Below are 16265 nucleotides of genomic sequence, written 5' to 3'. Positions count from 1 at the left end.
ACAGAATCCAAAACAAACACTGTTCCACTGGCAAGTCAGGGACCTAGTGGGAAAACACACATCCTACCCCAAACCTAGCACAGGGATGCATATGTTTAACTCTGGTTCTTATCGGTTACAAGGAAGTACATTTTCCAGCATATTTTACACTCTTCTCTAGCTTACCACATTTTATGACTTAAAATAGAGGGAATAGTATCAAAATAGAGGAAATAAATTAATTGTATCATTCCAGCTCTCATGCAGTGACCTGGAGCATTTCTATCTTGTGAGCCCTTGGCTTCTTTAACACTGAAGGTTTTGTGTTAATAGAGATCTTATATATCACCTGGGACATTGTCTTCCTAAGTGTGGAATGAGTACAGTGGGCTAAATAGAAGATTATTTTAGGCAGTACATGGACAGCATGACATAATCCTTCAATCTGTTGGTGAAAAAGAAGTTCTTCAATTTTCCTTTAAGCCTTCTGATGGTATCACGTAGAGAATATCAGTTTGGTGTTAGCATGTCTATCTTGTTATTCTTCCATTTTAGTAAAGTGAGAGCAGACATCAAACCCTGAATGTTAGATAGGCAACAGAAGCTAGCTAGCACTCAATAACCTTAGTTTCTGTTATATTTATCATGATGTTACCTTCCATTTTTGTGTGTGTGTGTGAGTGACATTGGTTTCCATTTATAGGGTTGATATAAAGCTTCCATTGAAAATAAGCGTATTGGCCAGGCGCAGTGGCTCACGCCTGTAATCCCAACACTTTGGGAGGCTGAGGCAGGTGGTTCATTTGAGGTCAGGAGTTTGAGACCAGCCTGGCCAACATGGTGAAACCCCGTCTCTACTAAAACTACGAAAAATTAGCTGGGTATGGTGGCGGGCGCCTGTATTCCCAGCTACTCAGGAGGCTGAGGCAGAAGAATCACTTGCATCTGGGAGGCAGAGGCTGCAGTAAGCCAAGATCGTGCCACTGCACTCTAGCCTGGGAGACAGAGTGAGACTCTGTCTCAAAAAAAAAAAAAAAGAAAAAAGAAAATAAGCATATCTAAGTTAAAAAGAAAGGTGATCTAAAGAAAAACATTAAATAAATACTGAATATGACTATAAATGGCACGTAGAAATGCCAAAATGCAAGGGTCATTCATTAACTCGTCAGTGAATTCAGACATACAAGGCCTGGTATAGGCATTTTGGTTACAAAATAGATGACATTTCCCCTTCTCATGGATGTTACATTTCAGTGGAGTCAGACAGTAAACAAATAGATAATAATTTGGTATGCAAATGATAAAAGTTTGGGAAACAAGGAACTAAGGGAGGGGGAGGAGCAGCACTTCAAGACAAAGGGGCAGTGGACGTTATCCCAGGAGGGAAAAGAACCATAATGTTGACTTTTTGAGCAGCTATGTCAGATTCTTGGTGCTGAAGTGTAGAGCTCAGCACACTGCCCTCATGCCCCCTTTTTAGTCTTCATAGCAGGGTTGTTCAACCTTGGCACTCTTGACATGGAACCAGATCGTCCCGGGTTGTGGGGCTGTCTTGCAGAATGTTGAGCAGTGTCCCTGCCTCCAGCCATACTAGACACTAGGAACCCCTCCCTCTGCTCCCACAGTTATGACAACCAAAGATATCTCCATACATTTTAGATGTCCCTTAGGGGGTAAAATCTCTGTAGGCTGGAAACAGGCTTCATTTTACTCCTGCGAGAGTTTGTTCCTTCCTTATTATTCCAGAGTCTTTGGGACCTAAGGTTGGGAGTTACTGAAACCCTGAGTTCTCAGTCTTCCTCTCCAACAGGGCACCAGTTCTCTAAACCTGACATTATCTCACGCCTGGAAGAGGAGGAATCATATGCAATGGAGACAGACAGCAGACATACAGTGATTTGTCAAGGTGAGTAGTGAGGGGGAAGCCCGGGGTGTAGGAGGGGGAACCAGTAAATGCTAGTCAGAGAGCTTTCCTCAAAGTCCCCTGGGCCAGGAGAAGTCTGGTAGGTGCCCTTTCTCCTCAGTACTCCCCTTGGTCTCCTTTCTGAAGCCCATCTCTTCATGCAGCATGAGCTCCTCTCCTGCTTAGCTCCAGGGAGGCCAGTGTCCTTTCACCCTCGTGTTCCAGCCCTTCCGTCCACTCATGCCTTTCTCCTTGCAGCTAAACATCATACATCTCTCCTCTTTAACTGAGACAAACAAAAAATCCTGGCCTGATACCACTTGTCTTTCTCACTGCCCTCCCACTTTCCCTCACATCAGCTCCTCAGACTTGTTGACACCTAGACGCTCCCTTCCCTTTTCTTCTTAATCCCCACCCTCTGGTTTCCATCCCCCTACTTATGCCAACTCAGACACACATATACGCTCTTTTCTGAAACTTCCACAAAAGGTTCCCACTAGCGTCCTTATAGTTCTGGAACCATAGACTTCACCTCCTCCAAACTCTATGGCTACAGTCTAATAACGCTTACCATCTTCATGAAATGGGTCACCATGTGCAGCGGCTGGATCACTGTTGTCCTTCAGTTGTAGTTAACAGAAAACCCACACCCAAACTGGCTAAAGTCATAGAGGGATTATTAGCCTATAATACTGATCAGCTGGGCTGTATTCAGGGACCCAGTGAAGTCATCGAAGACCTAGTTTCATTTTCTCCTTCTACTCTGCCTTCGACTCTGACAATAAATCCTAGATGCATTTTTTTGTTCCTGTACAAAAAAGGAGCAAGAAAGAGCTGGTGTGTCCAAGAAGCATTCTCAAGAGAGAGGAAGCATCTTTTCCAGCTCTCCTGATTTTTCATTGTTCCATATCGGGTTATATCCCTTTCCTGAACTAGCAGCTGTGTCCAGTACAGTGCTGATTGACACAGCCCTCCTCCACGTTTGTCTGTGTGAGTGGAAAAGTGGATGTCCAAACAAAATTCAAGAAGTTACCAGGAAGACTCCTCTCTGTTTCTTTCATTGTCTTCTTTTCTTTCCCTACTCTGGTTTCTTCATTATTCAGTCATCTCATAGATATTTATCAGGCTTCTGTGGTGGGCCAGATACTGTCCTAGTATCTGTGGATACAATAATGAATAAGACAGACAAATCTCTTCCTTCATAGAGCTTGCATTCTAATGGGGGCAGTAGTTTTAAAAAATAGACAAATAATAACGGAGCGTAAAGTGGATAGAGAATGAGATATGGGAGGTTGCTTGAGATGGAATAGTCAGAGAAGGCCTCACTGTGGAAGACTTGAATGAGATGGGGGGCTGACCAATGTAGAAATCTTGAGGAAGAGTGTTACAGGCAGAGCGAACAGCAAGTGCCAGGGCCCTGAGATTGGAATGAGCTTGGGTGTTCCAAAAACAGTAGGAAGGGCAATATGGTCTGAGTTAAGTGGAAGATAGAAGATGAGATCACAGAGATAGTCAAGGGCCAGCCCGCTTAGGAATATGTTAAAGAATTTTATTATAAGTGAGATGCAAAGATGGGGGGAGGTTTTGAGCAGGGGCATGAAGTAGTGTTATTGATATTTTAGAACTTTGCTGTCCAATATGCTAGACAGTAGGCACATGTGGCTACTTACATTTACACTAGTAAGAATTACATAAAATTTAAAATTTAGTTCCTCAGTCACACAAGCCACATTGCAAGTATTTGATAGCAACATGTGGCTAATGGCTACTGTGCTGGACAGCAAAAATGTAGACCATTTCCATCATCACTGGGAGTTCTACTGGGCAGTGCTATTCTAGAAAGATCCATCTGGCTGTCCTATGGAGAACGGGCTTTAAGAGGAAAAGCCAGAGAAACCAGTTCAAGAGGCCATTGAAGTCCACCAGGCTAAAGATGATGGAGGCTGAGGCCGTGGTTGTAGAGGGGTCAGGTTGGAGGTATTCCCTGAAAGAAGAACTGACAGAACATGCTGAAATATTGGATATACAGCAGGGTAAGGAAAACAGAAGAGCCAGTGAGGACTAGGTGTTCTCTTACTCTTCCGTTCTTGAGTGTTCTCTTCAAAGACCACTTCCTAAAAGAGTCAATCCATTGTGATGGGCCCAGCTATCCCTCTTTTCCTGATGACTTCCTAAGCCATGTTCTGGCTCTGCTGTTTTACCTGTACTCTGTTCACATACTTCAAGTGTCTGCCAGGATGCAACCACTGTGTTCATCACCTCTCTTCCAAACCACAGTCTTATACTTGACTTCCTTGGCTTCAGTATTTTTCCAACCAGAGAGTTGCCTTTATAAAGCACAGACTTTTTATCAGCTTCTTACCTCCGTCAAGATAAAATTCAAACTTTTAGCAAAACACTGAAGTTCCTCCCATTCTGGCCTGAAATTTGCATCCCAGCCTCATCTACAGATCTTGCAACTAAGATCCTGTGTTTCTAGCTCCCCAGGACTGTATATTTTCACAGTTCTATAGCTTAACTCAGGCTGTTTTATATAAACTCGCCCCCCTTCCCCGTTTACTGACGCCAAATGCTGTCCCCTCCACTAATCATTTTCTGTTCCTAAGTGGAGTCAGTTCCCCCATCTCTGCTCCTGTCGTCACTTACAGTCTGATTAGAGTCCCTTTTACAGACCTCTGACCCATCTGGTTAGATAATGCCTTGCACAAAACAGGCATTTAATAAATATTGAATTAAAGAGGATTGGTTGACAGTGTAGATTGGGGTAAAACAAGAGATTCAGAGCTAAGAAAGGAGAATCTTTGTTTAATTCTGAACAAGAGGTTGTTGACCTGTTTGCTCCAGTGTTTCCTCAGTAGTCCTGAAGAACCATAGTAATAGATGTTCTAAAAAAAATGTTTCATAGCAAGATCACTTTAAGAAATGCCACATTCTGTACCTTCCCTCTTTAGGGTTCAAGGTGCATATTAAAAGTTCTGAATCCTACAGGAATGAAACCTGCTTGATTTGTGTCATACAACATTTCCCAAATTAACTTGACAGTGGAGCCCCCTTCATGGTAACAGCTATTTGTTTTTCAGAATATTAGCGATCTGCCAAACATGGTTTGGAAAATGCTGACAAACCCCAACCCCAGCTCTTTCTCTGATTTCTGCTCATTCTACTCTGTACAATTGTGGCATCTTTTTGACACGCCATCCTCCTAGATGATATTTTTTCTGTTTCTTCCTCACTCTTCCTTGCTTACTGTCTTTTCCTTTTTTTTTTTTTTTTTTTTTTGAGACAGAGTCTCACTCTGTCATCCAGGCTGCAGTGCAGTGGTGCGATCTCTGCTCACTGCAACCTCCACCTCCCGGGTTCAAGCGATTCTCCTGCCTCATCCTCCTGAGTAGTTGGGACTACAGGCACGCGCCACCATGCCCAGTTAATTTTTTGTATTTTTAGTAGAGACAGGGTTTCACCATGTTGGCCAGAATGATCTCAATCTCTTGACCTTGTGATCCGCCCATCTCGGCCTCCCAAGGTGCTGGGATTACAGGTATGAGCCACTGTGCCCGGCCACTTACTGTCCTTTCTATCCTTTTTCCATTTTCTCTTTAGGTTTTCAGAAAACTCTCTCAACCTCCATAAGATCTGTTTGTTATCCTTGGTCTCTTTATTTCTATTATATTGGTATGTCTCTCTGAGTAAAAAGAATAGAGGAATTTTTACTTTTTTTTTTTCAGATTAGGAAAAGAGACCTGAAACCAAAGCACTAACTCCAGGGCAAAGCCTGCCTATAGAAATATCATTATTGGGGGGCAGGATTGGATAATTGGGCGGTAGGTAACTTCTGGCATTGTCTCTGCAGGAGAGTCTCATGATGATCCATTGGAACCACACCAGGGCAACCAAGAGAAACTTTTGACTCCTATAACAATGAATGACCCCAAGACCCTCACTCCGGAAAGAAGCTATGGCAGTGATGAATTTGAGAGAAGCTCTAATCTTAGTAAACAATCAAAGGATCCTCTAGGAAAGGATCCCCAGGAAGGCACTGCTCCTGGAATATGTACGAGTCCCCAGTCAGCATCCCAAGAGAACAAACACAACAGATGTGAATTTTGCAAACGAACCTTTAGTACGCAAGTAGCCCTTAGGAGACACGAACGGATCCATACTGGGAAGAAACCCTATGAATGTAAACAGTGTGCTGAAGCCTTCTATCTCATGCCACACCTCAACAGACATCAGAAGACCCATTCTGGTAGGAAGACTTCTGGCTGCAATGAAGGTAGAAAGCCTTCCGTCCAGTGTGCGAATCTCTGTGAACGTGTAAGAATTCACAGTCAGGAGGACTACTTTGAATGTTTTCAGTGCGGCAAAGCTTTTCTCCAGAATGTGCATCTTCTTCAACATCTCAAAGCCCATGAGGCAGCAAGAGTCCTTCCTCCTGGGTTGTCCCACAGCAAGACATACTTAATTCGTTATCAGCGGAAACATGACTACGTTGGAGAGAGAGCCTGCCAGTGTTGTGACTGTGGCAGAGTCTTCAGTCGGAATTCATATCTCATTCAGCATTATAGAACTCACACTCAAGAGAGGCCTTACCAGTGTCAGCTATGTGGGAAATGTTTCGGCCGACCCTCATACCTCACTCAACATTATCAACTCCATTCTCAAGAGAAAACTGTTGAGTGCGATCACTGTTGAGAAACCTTTAGTCACAGCACACACTTTTCTCAACATTATTGGCTTCCTCCTAGAGTGTTGTGAGTGTGAGAAGGCCTTTCACTAGCCCCACCTTGTTAACAACTTGAACATTCATCAAAGTGTGGTAAAAAAAAAAAAAAAGTTGCAATTTTTCGAAGAGGGGATTCCTCACGTCACACAGGTGAAAAGCTTACAAAGAATATTTTTGTTGCATAGGAAAGTAGCTAATAGATTTTGCCTTTTTCAGTGATACTCATCGTGAGGGAGGATTGCCCTCCTTTATATCAGATTGGATTCGTGGATATGTATTCTACAGGCTGTAATTCAGTACTGTCATTTATTTTGTTGTTCAAATGGCTACAGCTTTGGCCATTGGGAGCTCTTTCAGTCGGCTCCTGTGCCTTTTCAATAAGCTCCCATCCTTTTCAGGAACCACTTCCTTTCTATATCTTCCATAATTTTTCTCCCTTCACCTCCAGGAAAACCCTATCATGTCTTTAAGGTAGTTTCTACCTCATTCACTCTCATGAAATCTGCTTCTTTCCTCATGGTCAGAAGGCTCATAGCCTGATCAGTCTTTTATTTCACTTCTCCCGTTGCAGTTTTTGCTAAATCTGTATTCTGCTTGAACTGTTATTTACTTGACATATTTTTAATGGACTCATTTATGTTTTTTAAACTTCAGTACCTCTACTTAAAAAGGAAATTTTTAAATCACCTCAGACAAAGGGTTTTACTCACACGATAACCAGACTTCCCTGATTATCTCCAAGATGTCCTTTGACAGTTGGCTTGTTTCAATCTGGATCTAAATGTGGTCCACAGATTGCATTTGGTTGTTTAATCTCTTAAGTCTCTTAATCTAAAGCAATCCCCTCTCACGTTTTTAAGGCCTGTGCAACCCTGAGGTTAATATAGAACTTCCCTCCTGTTCCTACCCAGTTCGTGATATGTCTAACAGTTTAGAGACTCCTCTTCATGTTTACATTTTTAAATTTAGAAGAACTCATTTAAAAATTCTTATATTTCATTGTGGTAAAAACCACATAAAGCTTAGTGTCTTAACCGTTTTTAAGCATACAGTTCAGTAATGTTAAGTATATTCACATTGTAGGCCGGGCACGGTGGCTCGCGCCTATAAATTTAGAAACACTCATGTTTTAAGTTTTTTAGTGGTGATGCAAGTAATATACATTCCCTGAAGAAAACTAGAAAAAGTTTGTTTTTTCTTTGAATATTTGTATTTCCCCCTCCCAAATATACTTGCTGCTAAAAGTTTATGCCCATTTTTTCTTATGCATAAACCTGTATAGCTTTTAAAAATTATATTTTTAGGCTGGGTATGGTGGCTCATGCCTGTAATCCTGGCACTTTGGGAGTCCGAGGCAGGCAGATCACCTGAGGTCAGGAGTTTGAGACCAGCCTGGCCAAAATGATGAAATCCTGTCTCTACTAAAAATATGAAAAAATAGCCGGGCATGGTGGCGCTCGCCTATAGTCCCAGCTACCTGGGAGGCTGAAGCACAAGAATCGCTTGAACCTGGGAGGCAGAGGTTACACTGAGCTGAGATTGCACCATTGCACTCCAGCCTGGACAACAGAATGAGACTCCATCTCAGAAAAAAAAAGTTATATTTTTATGAATTGAAATATACTACCATAAACACTGTTTTGAGGGCTGTCATTTTCATTCTCATATATTATGAACATCTTTCCATATACAGAAATACATTCCTAAATTTCCTTTTAGTACTTGGTTGCATGGATGTGTCCTAATTTATTTCATCTGGCCTTTCATGGTTGGAAACTGGGGTTGCTTATAATTTCTCTTTTTTTTTTTTTTTTTTTTTTTTTTTTTTCAGATGGAGTGTCACTCTGTCACCCAGGCTGGAGTGCAGTGGCGCGATCTCAGCTCACTGCAAGCTCCGCCTTCCGGGTTCATGCCATTCTCCTGCCTCAGCCTCCCAAGTAGCTGGGACTACAGGCACCCGTCACCATGCCTGGCAAATTTTTTTTTTTTTTTTTTTTTTTTTTTTTTTTTTTTTTTTTTTTTTTTAGTAGAGACGGAGTTTCACTGTGTTAGCCAGGATGGTCTTGATCTCCTGACCTTGTGACCCGCCCCACCTTGGCCTCCCAAAGTGCTGGGATTGCAGGTGTGGAGCCACCGTGCCTGGCCTGAACTATGATTTTTAACATAGTTTTATTAGGTATTGTTTCCTCACTATACAAATAATATTGAGCATATTAAAGAAAATTTTGCAAAACAGAGAAGGCTAATAAACTTCCTAATAGTTCTAGGTATGCAACTAGTACAAGTCCAGGGAGGTAGTTATATTCACAAGTAGAAGAGACCCTTGGCAGAGAAGAGAGAGGGTGGGCTTTGGAGCCAGGGAGAGCTGAGGTCAAATTTCAAGGTCCTCCTTAGAGGCTGATTATACCTCGTTTTCTTAGGAAATGGGGATCCTCCCCTGGGAGAACCATTAAAAGGTCTAGAGTTCATCTATAGAAAAGAGCCTAATAGTGCCTGGTATTTAGAAGGCACTCAGTAACAAGTAGTTGCAATTAGGGAGTATTTTAAATTTTATTTTATTATTATTTTTTTTTTTTGAGATGGAGTCTCGCTCTGTCACCCAGGCTGGAGTGCAGTGGTATGATCTCGGCTCACTGCAACCTCTGCCTCCCGGGTTCAAGCGATTCTCCTGCCTCAGCCTCCTGAGTAGCTGGGATTATAGGTGCGTGCCATCACACTCAGCTAATTTTTGTATTTTTAGTAGAGACAGGGTTTCCTCATGTTGGTCAGGCTGGTCTCAAACTCCTGACCTCGTGATGTGCCCACCTCAGCCTCCCAAAGTGCTGGGATTACAGGCGTGAGCCACTGCACCCGGCCTAAAATTTATTTTTTAAAATGTTTTATTAGCAGCAATAAACTAGAGTTGTAAACCATAGTTAACACATCAAAACGCAACCACATTTTATCATATTTTAGTATTTTTTCTACAAATATTTTTTTCTATGTGTAGGTTTTTAAAAATAATATTACAAGTTTAAAGTTCTTTTCTGATTTTGTGACAATTTTTAATTTATATAAAAGTCTGATTAACAAAGCATAAATTACTGTATTTACAGTTTAGAATCGATTTCCAAAAAGTGGTTTCACTAGATGACATGTGATGAACATTTCTAAGGCTCTCGAAAGATCCTGCTGGATTTGTTTGTGGAGGGGCTCTGCCATTTGTAGCCCTCAGCATAGGGAGGGCCAGAGGTATGAAATAGGTGGTAAACTTACAATCCTCCCTCTCGAGTCCCTGGCAGGCGTTGTTAACCAGTTATGCACTCTCTGGTTCCAGTGAACCTGAGGACAGGGTTGGATCTTTCTCAGCACAGCACCCAAGGCAAACAAGACACACTAAGCAGTTTTTGTATGTGCAAAGAACTGCCTTTGTCACCCTGGTACCAAATAAATACTCCCTTTAAATAACTTTGCCTGCACTGGGTATTTATTCACTTAACAACCAAAAAATCTTCACCTATTTGGTAATAAAAAGATAAATCTTTTTGGTAATAAAAAGATAAATAAAAATCTTCACCTATTTGGTAATAAAAAGATAAATCTTTTTGGTAATAAAAAGATAAAAATCTTCACCTATTTGGTAATAAAAAGATTATTATTAACAATAATTAATCCATTTTTGCATTATTATTATGCATTTTTTCCAAATAAGTTTTAAAAACTTCTTTATGTATAACCTAGGCCCTTTACCTCTTTAGCTTTTTTGTCTTTATGCTTTTTCTTACTAATTTGTGTGAACTCAGTTTCCTTTTAAGTACACATTTCTGATGGATTAATGTTTATTTTTCTTTTTAAAGCAATATTTGACTCATTAAAGGCAACTACTTTACAGAAATGTAGATCTCTCTCCCTCCCTCTGCCCCGAAACAGAAAAATACACTATGAACACCACTAACATTTTTAGTCTGTTTTCTTGTAACTTAAAATTAATGACTAGATTTATGAAGGTAGTCGCCTCTGGGGAGTGGCTGAAGTAAAGATCTCATTTTCATGGTCTATACCTGTCCACTTTGTTACCCTCATGACTGTATTACGCTCTGTTGCCCAGGCTGCAGTGCAGGGGCGCGATCGTGGCTCACTGCAGCCTCTGCCTTCCAGGTTCAAGCAGTTCTCCTGCCTCAGCCTCCCAAGTAGCTGGGACTACAGGCATGCACCACCCTGCCCGGCTTTTTTTTTTTTCTATTTTTAGTAGAGATGGGGTTTTGCCATGTTGGCCAGGCTGGTCTGGAACTCCTAACCTCAGGTGATCTGCCTGCCTTGGCCTCCCAAAGTGCTAGGATTACAGGTGTGAGCCACCGCACCCAACCCTGTATTACCTATTTTTAAGGTATTTATAGATAGTTGTCATATAGCTGTGACTATTCCATGTGTGCGATAGTATACCTTGTTTTTCTACCCAATCTTATACCTTACAAAACTGCTGTCATCACTCACTCGTCTGTGGTTATCACCGCCTTACCAGTGGCACAGCAAACCCAGTGCTTTCTGTGGATGGCTCCTCCTCTGTTGTTAGGAGGTAAAATTCAGTTTCAATTTTTCATAGTTATGAACATACTATAATCAACATTTCGGTGCTTAAACCTTTTTCCAAATGTAAAATTTCTTTACGATACATATTTGCCAAAGAGGAATTGCTGCATCAGAAGGTGTATAATTGCTTTTAAGATTTTTGATATATCCAAGTTCCTTTTGGAAACATTACATCAGTTTGCACTGCTGCTACTGCTAGTAATGCTTGGGGATACGTGTTCCTCACACACACCCACTACCCCCCACACCTCCCGCCCAGCTGGCATTATGTAATAACAGCACTTTTCATTGTAGGGTGTTTAGTAGCAACTTTGCTAATAGGGGAAAGGGCATCTCATTTTAATTGTCTTTGATTTTTAAGGATGTTGAACTTTCTCCTGTAAGCTTCTTAAGCCATTGTTTCCTCTCTTCACATTGTCTGTCTTTTAATCATTTGTCTATGTGACTTTAATAGCTTCCTATCAGTTTGAACCATCTCTTTGCATAATAAAGATATTAATTCTTTGTTGTCATCTTGGCTGCAAATGATTTTCCCTCTTTGGTATTTTCTTTATTTTTTGAAAATGTTTCAATTTTTATATATTTCAATCCTTCTATTTTCTTCCAACCCTACAAAATCTAACCCTCTGTAAACATTAGTGTTTTATTCTGGAGTTTTAAAAATATGCTTTAGTGATTATTGAATTTACTTGGGCATATTGTATGAAAAGAGAATTAAATTTATTCTTCCTCATTGTTAATTGCCCCAACATTATTAGTAAATTATAAATTGTTATATTTTATAATGTAGGTTCTATATTTGGACCATCTACTTGCTTTTATTGGCTTGTTGCCCTGTTTTATCCTAGATCTATATTCTTCTTAATTTTTATGGCTATATTTAATGTTTTCCATCATTGTGCCTTTAAAAAGTATATGTACATGTATGCATAAATTTATGTGAAGTTATATATAAGTTTCCGTTATTCCAGATTAAAATTTATCTTTAGTAATCAAAAACCAACCTTCTGATTATTATTGCAATGAACTTATAAGTTAGGAAGGATTAACATTGTTACATTTAATCTTAACATCCAGGAATATGATACTGTGTTTTCATTCATTCAAGCTTTTGTATCAATCAGTAAAGCTTTATAGTTTTCTTATCAAAATGTCACAAGTTTTCCTTAGTTATTTCTGCATGTTTTTGCAGTTGTGAGTTTTCTTCTATAGAGTTTTTCTTATATTTCTTCTAAAAAGCCAGCATCTCAAGAATAGGGTCACTTCGGCATTGCCAAGGAATTCTGAAATTTTAGAACCAGACTAACTACATTTGGCTGCTTTATTAAAGTCACCCAGGCCGGGCGCGGTGGCTCACGCCTGTAATCCCAGCACTTTGGGAGGCCGAGGCGGGTGGATCATGAGGTCAGCAGATCGAGACCATCCTGGCTAACAAGGTGAAACCCCGTCTCTACTAAAAATACAAAAAAAATTAGCCGGGCGCGGTGGCGGGCGCCTGTAGTCCCAGCTACTCGGGAGGCTGAGGCAGGAGAATGGCGTGAACCCGGGAAGCGGAGCTTGCAGTGAGCCGAGATTGCGCCACTGCAGTCCGCAGTCCCGCCTGGGCGACAGAGCGAGACTCCGTCTCAAAAAAAAATAAATAAATAAAATTAAAAAAAATAAAAAATAAAATAAAATAAAATAAAAAAATAAAGTCACCCAAGATCATCTCTGCTGGCCCCTGTAGGATCCTCAGTTTTCAATCCTTTCTTGAAACCAGTATTTCTCAAACTTTAATGTGCAATATGGGGGAGACAGGCAATAAGCAAAATAAGGTGGTAAATGCTATGAAGAAAAATAAAACCAGGAAAGAGGGTAGAGAGTTACCATGGAAGTGGGAGGGCTAATTTAAGACAGGTTGGTCCAAAAAAGGCTCTCTGAAGAGATGGCCTTTAAGCAAAGACCATCAGATGAGAAGTCAGCCTGGGACCCTGGAGAAGAGAGTGTCCGGGCAGAGGAAACAGCATGAGCGAAGCTCTTTGGTCAGAAAATAGCTTTGTATGTTGGTGGAGGAGACAGTAGAAGGGTTGCGAGTGAGAGGGAGAGTGATAGGATCAGATGTGGGAGCAGCACCAGGACTGATTTCTCCACTGGTGCAGTTGACATTTGGTGTTGGGCAACTCCTGTGGACCATCCAGTGCATTGTAGGGTGTTTAGTAGTATCCCTGGCCTCTGTTCAGTGGATGCCAGGAGCACCCGCTTCTCCAATTGTGACAAGCAAAAATGTCATTCGACATTTTATCTGGGAGGTAAAATCATCCCGACTTGAGAAGTCTGATCTGGGGCCCTTTGTTCAGGGTTCCCTGGCAGGGAGATGAGCCCTACCTCCTGTATAGATTCATCTGACCCTCGCCCGGTGCTGCTACGTGGGAAAAAGAACAGAGAAGCTGGCACTTTTTTCTTTTTGGCCTCTGTTTATGCTATTGAAGTCAGTGAATAGAGGCTTGATAATTGCTATTTTCAGTTTGGTTTGTCCTAACTGGCTACTGTTGATAGTCTCAGGGCCCCTCCTAGACTGGAGGGCCTTTCTGGATGCTGGGAGATTCACATCGGTCACTCACACCATTACTGTGAGATGGGTAACAACACCCCATCTTACATACAGAGACACTAAGGCACAGGGAGGTGATGTGACTTGTTTAAGGCCACACAACTAGTAATGACAAAGCTGGGATTCAAAACTCCAGGTTTAGGTATCTCAATCACCCAAGTTCTGCAATTCTGCAAAGCTGTGTCCATCTACTGCTGCAAACCATGAAAGATGGCTGGATCTTTCTAACTTATACGCCACAGCTCGTGTATTTTGCAGATCATACATAGATATATTTAAATTCCTTGTCTTTTCCTCACTCCTGTTTACTGGAAAGAAGTCCCTCCTGTATGTTTGGACCAAAGAGTCAAGAAAATTACAATGCTTTTCACTGCTCCACCACAGCCTTCACAGATCTTTTCTCACTTTTGGGACTCATTCTTACATTGAGAAAAGAGATCCTTGAAAATCAGCTTTAATATTATGTGGGGGCATCCGGCTCTTAAGTTTGAAATAACTGTTGAAGAAGCCTAATTTTCCAGTTAATAAATTTTTGTTTTAAGAGCCAGGTTCTTGCTCGGTTGCCCAGGCTGGAGTGCAGTGATGTGATCACATCTCACTGCACCCTCCAGCTCCTGGGCCCAAGCAATCCTCACACTTCATCTTCTCAAGCAGCTAGGACTACAGGCAAGTGCCACCATGCCCAGCTAATTTTTTATTTATTTTTTATTTTTGTAGAGATAGGGTCTTGATATGTTGCCCAATCTGGTCTTGAACTCCAGGGTCAAGCGATCCTCCTGCTTTAGCCTCCCAAAGTGTTGGTATTACAGGGGTGAGCCACTGCATCCAACCCAGTTAATACATCTTTTGAAAAAATCATCTCTGGCGCAAACCAAGTCAGATATCAGTACATTTATCTTCCTTAACTTGCAAATGACCTCAGACTTGCCAGTCACGGAAAGAACTGCTGACCTGCACATTAGGAGCCAGGTCTAGAATTAGTCTAGGGATGGTCCTTCCATATAATCCTTATAGTTAACTCAGCAACACCCAGGAAAGCTGACTTGATCAGGCCGAGTGCCACAGAACTTTTCCTGTCTACAAAACTTTCATGTGACTCAATGCATTGAGTTGTAGATGGGTGGATATTATCTTCCTAATTTTGTGCATGCAGAAACTGAGGCTTAGCTTGGAGATAAGGAAAACCAAGAACCGGTCATGGCCTTTAGCGACATACAACACTTGAGATGCATTTAAGGGTGCTGCTTGTTCTTAATGGAAGTCACGTAGACGGCGTAACAGTTGGACCAGAGAATTCAAGTGTTGGCAGAAAGAGAACACATAGGTGTGTTTCCTTTCTTCCAAACCAGCAAGTGGCTTGTTTACTGATCATTTTAGTTACAATTAGGAAGTTTCTCATTTTTTCAGAAAGTGGGATTTTTGTGTCTAGTTTTCCTAATGCTAATTCAGGAAACTTTCTTTCTTAGAATTGTCTAATTCTTCCACAACTGTTATAGTCAGAGGGACAGAGAGAAAAAAAAACTTTCTGATTTCTCAATGCCCAAGGCCAGAGTTTTTAGGCTGTTTGAAAAGCTGACGCTGAACTTGGGTCAAATCCTATTCAGAAACAGCTAACCCAGCAAGCTTGAGACTGCAGAGCAACACACACGTAATCTCATGAACTAAATCCCTCACATTCCCACATAAACAACACCAACACGAGTCAAGCTAACACAATCATGCATGGACAGCAAAAAGCCATACACACCCAATACCATCACAGAAAGCCACCAAGTCACGCTCATGATCTACAAGCACGCGAGAGCCATTCCAGCTTGCTGGCTCGCGCACACACCACACACTCAGGCTTCCTCACTCACACACATGCACCCTCGTTGACCCCAACACACACCCTCTCGAACAAACACACCTTCAAACACATCACGCGCCCACACTTGTAGGGACATTCGCACTCGCTCACACTCTTGCTAGCTCCCTCACCTACACGGACGGACTCTCACCCTCTCACAGGTTTGCTCACGCAACACTCGCCCCCACACTTGATCACACGCACACACTTAATCACGCGTACGGACAAACTCACCTGTACACACTCGCACACAACTGCAAAGCTCCTCGCCCCTTCCACCAGCCGAGACGCTCGGATCTCCCGCTAAAACGCCACCGGAAGCGGAAATACGCTCGGGGCGCCGCGCATTCTGGGAGTTGTAGTCTGGAGACGGCGTGCAGGCGCACTACATCCCGGCACCCGGCCTGCCTTTTCCCAGGCATAAACCACCCTTCCCAAGTCCTTGTCTCAGGCTCTGCAAAGTTATGCAACACGGTGATTTCCAACAGTGATAAGGGCTCAGAAAGCAATAAAACGGGGGGATGTGCGAGAGGGGGAGGGGATGATGCCACTTAAAGAAGTGGTTAGGAGAGGTCTTTCCAAAGAGACGACGTCTAGAATGAAGCTCAGATATGCAGAGGCGGTGATGCTCAGATTTGGGGAAGGGTATTTC

General features: G+C 42.0%; 1 protein-coding gene and 1 long non-coding RNA gene across 16 annotated transcripts in view; one reads left to right on the top strand and one right to left on the bottom strand.

The window, feature by feature from the left end:
- Positions 1–6715, top strand: part of ZIM2 (zinc finger imprinted 2) — a 66180-nt gene extending 59465 nt beyond the window's left edge. For all 15 annotated transcript variants that reach the window (NR_163141.1, NR_163140.1, NR_163143.1 and 12 more), the window contains 2 exons: positions 1790–1885; positions 5733–6715. Coding sequence is in view for 11 of the 15 variants with exons in the window: in NM_015363.5 (NP_056178.3) it covers positions 1790–1885; positions 5733–6574 (938 nt within the window). In the remaining 4 variants the exon portion in view is untranslated. The remainder of the gene's footprint in view (positions 1–1789; positions 1886–5732) is intronic.
- Positions 1–15940, bottom strand: part of ZIM2-AS1 (ZIM2 antisense RNA 1) — a 34325-nt gene extending 18385 nt beyond the window's left edge. The window contains exon 1 of the long non-coding RNA NR_110744.1: positions 15848–15940. This is a non-coding gene — a long non-coding RNA (ZIM2 antisense RNA 1). The remainder of the gene's footprint in view (positions 1–15847) is intronic.
- Between the last annotated feature and the right edge of the window lie 325 nt (positions 15941–16265).

Source organism: Homo sapiens, chromosome 19 (genome assembly GCF_000001405.40).
Source record: "Homo sapiens chromosome 19, GRCh38.p14 Primary Assembly".
NCBI classification, from domain to species: Eukaryota; Metazoa; Chordata; class Mammalia; order Primates; family Hominidae; genus Homo; species Homo sapiens.
The sequence above is the reverse complement of the archived record's forward strand: the minus strand, read 5'-3'. Positions and strand labels throughout refer to the sequence as shown.